Source organism: Homo sapiens, chromosome 2 (assembly GCF_000001405.40).
Source record: "Homo sapiens chromosome 2, GRCh38.p14 Primary Assembly".
In the NCBI taxonomy this organism is placed as follows: Eukaryota; Metazoa; Chordata; class Mammalia; order Primates; family Hominidae; genus Homo; species Homo sapiens.
Window position 1 is genome coordinate 191,820,483 of NC_000002.12, and position 6,574 is coordinate 191,827,056.

At 39.3% G+C, this 6,574-nt stretch overlaps 1 annotated feature.

The window, feature by feature from the left end:
- Nucleotides 5,266-5,841: an enhancer, noted in NCBI's record as "OCT4-NANOG hESC enhancer chr2:192690474-192691049 (GRCh37/hg19 assembly coordinates)". NCBI's record gives its function as "activates a minimal SCP1, AML or CMV promoter by ChIP-STARR-seq in naive and primed H9 embryonic stem cells {active_cell/tissue: H9 hESC(naive and primed)}" and the evidence as "EXISTENCE:reporter gene assay evidence [ECO:0000049][PMID:30033119]".

A 6,574-nucleotide genomic window follows, 5' to 3' on the forward strand; every position in this document is an offset into this window, starting at 1 on the left:
AAGATTGCCAGCCATTTCATCCCAATGACTTCACCTGTTGATGCCAGAGGTGACCCTTTCCAGTCTGTCTAACATTTTACAGAGCCCAGGTGGTTTTCTAATTGCTGAGTGATCTGCAATTAGCAAGTGTAGTAGATGCTGTGGTGCCCTGCCTGGATCCCTTACCCAGCCCATCACTCCCTTCTCCAATTGCTGTGAGTGTAGACTTCTAATGACCCACAGCTGCCCCCTATTTTTAGAGAATTGCGAATGGCAGCTGCATCTCCCAGGAGGTCATGCTCCTCGCCCCAACTAAGGGCAGCCAATGACTGATGAATGTGGGACTACAAATGGCCCCCTTACATCGAAGGTGAGGGCCATAATTTTGTGGTGTGATCCCCTGGATCAGGTCAAGACTGGCCTTTGTACGGGACCACATCCTTGCTGAGCTCTTTCCTCTCTCCTCTCCCGCTTTGCACCCCACTCTGCTGGCTTTCTCTGAAGAGCACGGCTTCACTAAACCTTATGCACCAGAACTTCCGTCTGAGGCTCTGATTCCAGTGTGCCCAGAACTAAAAGAGTGAGTTTGCTCATATATCTTTCTTAATGGATTCAATAACATAATATCATTGTTAACTAGAATTCTCTTGAAAAATGATAGACTATTCTCTCTGAATTGCTGAAGTCTTTTCTTCAATTAGAAAAGTTCTTTCAGTTCAGGTTGAAGTCTTTTCTTCAATAAGAAAAGTTCTTTCAGTTCAGCAGTGTTCTCTGTGTAGCCTTTATCCATCAGCTTACGTGGAAAAATCATGGTTGGCAAAGGATCAAAGTCACAAAGGTTGAAAATTTGAACCCTATGACTGATTCCTACTTGCCTCTTTTTCATTTTTTTAGTTTGTCTAGTATTCAACTCTATTTACAGAACTCCTCTTAAAAGCTTGGCTTTTCAAGTTAGAACAATGTTCTGCCACAATAGGAATAATTATGATGGCCTTAGTATATGGTAGTCATCTGGGTGACAAAATAAAAGATTTTTGCTTGGAATCAAATAGTCCATTCAAGTCTGAAATGATATGTATTTTCTGGGCCCTCTGTAATTAGAAATGTGATTGTATAAATGTCTGAAAATCTGTTCTGGTTTTAAAGAAATTGGCCTACAGCCTGTTCTAATCCGGACACAAAATTCACAGAATTTGAAGGTCTCCTTGTATCACTACCAGCTAGTGGTATGAGGGTGGGCTGATTCAGCAATTGGAAGAACGGTGATTCCAGCTGACAGGTGCAGTCCTCCAGGAAATGCCAGGTTGACCCTGCTGCTTAGAAAAGCAGAACAGAGAGGTGATGGCAAAGGATACAGGGAACGGAAATATTTGAAAGGCATTATTATTTATGTTGGGTGGGGCAAGGATACATGATTGCACAGTGGAAGAGTTGGAATCCTTCACCCACTTCACAATTGTGCTTTGTATCAAACATAATGTCCAAACATATTGACTGATGCACTGAATTGGATGTTACTGATTCTCAATACTATATTTTGCTCTAAACAAATTGGCTTTTTGTTTCTACCATGTTATTGCTTATTTATAATCAACATCTTCTATCCTAAAACATTCCTAAAGCAAGCAGGTTCTTGCTGTTTTCTATTTAGACATTTGATGTTCATTTGGGTCCAATGTCTTCATGTTTACAAGTGATTTTTGCTGGATTTGTAGGATGTAAAGTTTTTGCCATTTGATCTGTGACTGGGATGCATCCATTAGAAGGTCAGTGCTGAAAAGCCAGGAAATTGCTTTTAATTTTATGTAATTTACGGTTTATTTGTAAAATTCACAGAATTTCACATCCTAAGATTATTTTCCTGGGATTCTGTTTCAAAAAGGCCACTGGATCTTAAGGAAAGATGAACTCATTCTGTTATTGTTGTTGAATTTCCAAACAAAAAGGCTTAAGGCTTGGAATTTGCCATTTATTACTGAGAAAGTAGAGGTAACTATTCTAGTTGCTAATGTCCTTTTTCAATAAATATCCTTTCCCTGCCTGCCACAGGATTGTCATCCCACTTTAAAGGGTTAGATCACAGAAGAGGCGTCTCTCAAAGTTAGGTACTTCCTATCCCTCTTTGATAGGAGGAAAGCAATACTTGGTGAGTTAAAAGAAAAATACATCAGAAAATCTGAATTGTTCTATTCTCTTTCCTATGACCATAATGCATTTTATAACTGTCTTTATCGAAATGGAAACATATGTCAAATTTTTAAAAACAAGAATGGTGGCACTGACAGTATGCTTTTCTTTAAGCTTGCTTACCAAGCAGCAACTGGAAATACAAAAATTAACTACAGATTTTATATTTCAATATACTATGTTATTGGAATGTTTTGTTCTCTAACATGTATTTGTAAGATTTACTGAAAAGAAATTCAATGATATTTGAAATTTTAAAATCCTGTGGGAGTTAAAATTTTGACCTTGATTAGCTTAGGCATCTCTAGTAGTAGTTTCTACAATTAGAATCTGGCAAGGAGAAAAAAAATCAGTGGATAAGAGGAAGGACACTTTGGGAGGCTGAGGCGGGCGGATCACGAGGTCAGCAGATCGAGACCATCCTGGCTAACACGGTGAAACCCCGTCTCCACTAAAAAATACAAAAAAAAAAAAAAATTAGCCGGGCGCGGTGGCGGGCGCCTGTAGTCCCAGCTACTCGGGAGGCTGAGGCAGGAGAATGGCGTGAACCCGGGAGGTGGAGCTTGCAGTGAGCCAAGATGGCGTCACCGCACTCCAGCCAGAGAGACAGAGCGAGACTCCGTTTCAAAAAAACAAAAACAAAAACAAAAAAGAGGAAGGACACAAGGATATTTTCATATGCTTATAAATTGGCTATGTCACCGCTTTAAGTTGGTTTAATATGTTGGTTTAAAATTCAGTCTTCTTCTCTAATTATTTCTTGCCTCCCTCTAGAAATAAGCCAAGATTCCTTGAACTAGAACTGAAACTAGAAGTTCATTATTAGCCTCTCTTAGTTGTTTGGCTAGTAATTGCATGATTAGACTAATACTTTAAGTCGTCAAGGAAGATTAATCACTTGTGAATAAGTAATTATTTTTGTAGATACGACTGTGGGAAAAACAGACCATTGGTAAAACGGAATCCTTAAAATATAGTTAATCCTTAATTATCCATGTTCATAAAAAAGGAAAAGATCCAAGAGATATTTCAGCAATAACCTGTATATGTTATTAACATGCATTTATATGTTTTTAGAGCAGGTTTTCTTCTATAATTAAAATATTTAAGGCTAACCTGAAAATTACTTTACATTCTCTGAGTTTTTACCAATTAATGACAGTGATGTCATCCAAAAATACTCTGGGTGTTGAAGGTCAGTCTAGAAAGAACTCTTTTACTGCAGTTGATTGACTAAGTAAGTAAGCAAGCCTCATCTGAACACTTGAGAACCCTCTTCAAGCAGGAAAAAATGCAACAGACCAACAGCTACCAAAAAAAAAAAAAAAAAAAAAAAAAGGTGCAAAAGTCCCGTCTGTGTCAGAGGGTCTTTGTATCACAGAGTGGTAATTATTTCGTTGCATATGTAAAATATTTGTTGCATTAAGTCATGAAGATTCCAAAACCATGTAATATGAAATCTATATTGAGAAAAGATGAAACTGTATGTTGGAAGGTTAGCTGCTTCCTTTCCCCAAGAGTTTTCCTCAGGGTCATCCCAAAAATGTGCAGGGCCTCAGGTAAATAGTTTTTGTGGGTCCTCTGTCTGTATAAACAATTTGATTTAAAAAGTGTTACAAAGTTTATTCTTCAGAAAATGGGTAAAGTGGAGCTACTTACACATTCGTTTATTGTCCAATCATTGCTTGTAATGATTCCTTATATCAGCCAGTAGATTGGCATTGTATCTTCTGGTTCTTTATTGTCAAATGTGTGGTTCCTGGCTAATTTCATATCTTCCACCATGTGAGAAACAGGTAGCAATGCTGTTATTATTCACAATGCAACGGCTCTTTAGATTCTGTTTGTGCTGAAACAGTATAGACCTCTGCCTCTGCAGTTCTCTAATACCATTTATTTAATGCTGGTTGCATCATTACTCATGAGGCTGCATCATTCATATTGTCACCCATGACTACTGGTTTCTCATGACTGTCTCAAAGGCTGTTACTACGCTTTGTTGATGATGACCACAAATGCAAATCTTATCCAGCATATGCAGAAAAATGTGAATGATACATTGTTTTCTGGTCATGTAAAATTTACTGTATAGAATTTTACAGCATGTAAACTTAGAATACTGTATTTTCCAGTATGTCTTCTGCTGAATGCTTTAGGCAGTGGCCACTGTATTCCTACAATGTGATCTCTTTTAGTGCTGGCTGTATGTTTGCCTTCCACCACTTCTACCAGTGGGGAAAATAAGTGAGGGACCTACAGAGGATAAGAAGAGTGGTCCCATTTGCACAAGAAATGTCCATCCCTTGTCTAGCATGGCTCAAGACCAGCCTGGCACATTACAACATCAACACATGATGTAAGGCAAGAGAGAAAATGGATCTGAAGAGTCACGGGGTAAAGGAGAGCAAAGATCTTGAAAGCTCTTTGTGCAGATGGGCAAGGCCACCCCAAAGCCTGACCCATGGTGTAGAGCCTGTGGAGGAAGTAGAATGACAGCTCTAGGTAGAGGATACCTTGTGCCATCCTGGTTCCTTCATACACTGGAGGTGGCACCGCAGTCTAAAGAGCTATTATGCCAGCTCACGTGTGTGGCTTAAGCCCAGGAATCGGCAGAGTCCTGAATTGTTCTGTGTCCCTCCAAAGTCAGGGTCACTGTCACCCTAAGACAGCATGTCAGCACCATTCCAGAGGCCCAATTTTATCCAATCTTTCACGGTCTCATATAAAAACTATTCTCCTGGGCAGCAGTGCTTTCCTCCTAGAGGTTCTTTGGGGAATTTGGTTTACCTCATGCATGAGGCAGATAATAATTTAATTTTTTTTTTTAAGTGACAGGGTCTTGCTCTGTCACCCAGGCTGGAATGCAGTGGCACAAACATAGCTCACTATAATCTCGAACTCTTGGGCTTAAACAATCGTCCTGACTCAGCCCTGAGAAGCTAGGACTATAGGCACATGCCACCATACCCAGCTAATTTTTTAATTTTTTGTAGAGATGGGACCTTGCTATGTTTTCCAGTCTGGTCTCAAACTCCTGGCCTCAAGTGATCCTCCTGCTTTAGTCTCCCAAAGTGCTGGGATTATAGGCATGAACTACCACGGCTGGCCCAGGTAGAGGCTTAGTGAGTGCTCTGTAGAGGAGAAATGGAGACATAGGTCCTGATCTAGTCTGAGACTTCCCGACCAAATAGCAGAGGGGCTGGTGCCAGGCACCAGATGGGGACTTAGAACATTTCTTGGAAGGTGCTTTAAGGCAGGGTGCTCCCTGAGGTGCAGGCCCAGGTCAGGTTTCCTGCTTACCTGGATCAAAGGATGGTACTGGATCTCCTCTCAGCTTCTTTGTTTTGCTTCATCACTAACAATTGCCTCATACAGTCTTGAGGTTTGTTCTTAAATTGCTGCCTAGTTACTACTAAGTGCCCTCCTTGATGTCCCGGTAGGTAATCTGCAGAGATGTGCTTTTAGGGTCTCTCTGCAGCAGAGGTGAGGAAGTTTAAGATTCTGAGAGCAAATTACCACATTCTTCAAGAATTAACATAAATTCATATGCATTAGCATTATATGTAATAGTTCATCTCCATTTCAGAACAGTGGACTGATCTCTGAAGAGAAACTTTCAGCTCATGGACTCTTCACACAGAGAAACAGCTCACGAAAATGGGGCCATTATTATTGCTTACTGTGTTTCCATTTAAATTGATGAAAGCAGAGCAACTTGTCACTTCAGTAGAAAAAAGTAGAATATATGAGTTTTGTGGAAGCTTCAGGAGTCACAAGTTATGACTAGCAATGTAAATCTATTTTTTAGTATCTAGTCCCATTCAAAGAACAATGAAAGGTAGTGGAAGTCTCTTTGTCTTTTTGTGCTTAGAAGAAATAGATATGAAAAATTGGTATTCTAAAGTCATAGATCAAACATTGTAGTTTAAGAATTTTAGAATGACAATAATTAGAAAGAAATACATCTTTTATGGAAAAAGTAATACTTTTTATTTCTTTGGTGTTGCTGGGGAGAAAAGATGTGGTAATGTTCAGAGGGTAGAACTTTCTTCCTGCTCTGAAGCATAGATGAACTCCAGACTTCAGTTTTAACTTTAATCTAATCCCTTCTGCTTTTCTGTTTTCTTTTTCTTATGCTTTATCTTCTTTTTTATGGTGCCATTTCTTCACAGGTAAGGACATACTGTTAAAAGCCTTTTGTGTGTAAAGGGATCACTTCCTTCAGAAGTTGTTATTTAAATTTGCCTTAGCGGAAAATTAGTTGACTCTATTCCAAAATAGAGACTCTTGTAGGACTCGTCTGTTCTAAGAGAAGAAGGTGTTTCAGGTAGAACAATGGGTCTGATGCAAACTCTGTCCATAAATTAAAAAAGGAAATAATAAATAATTTGTCTCCGTTTTAGGGATG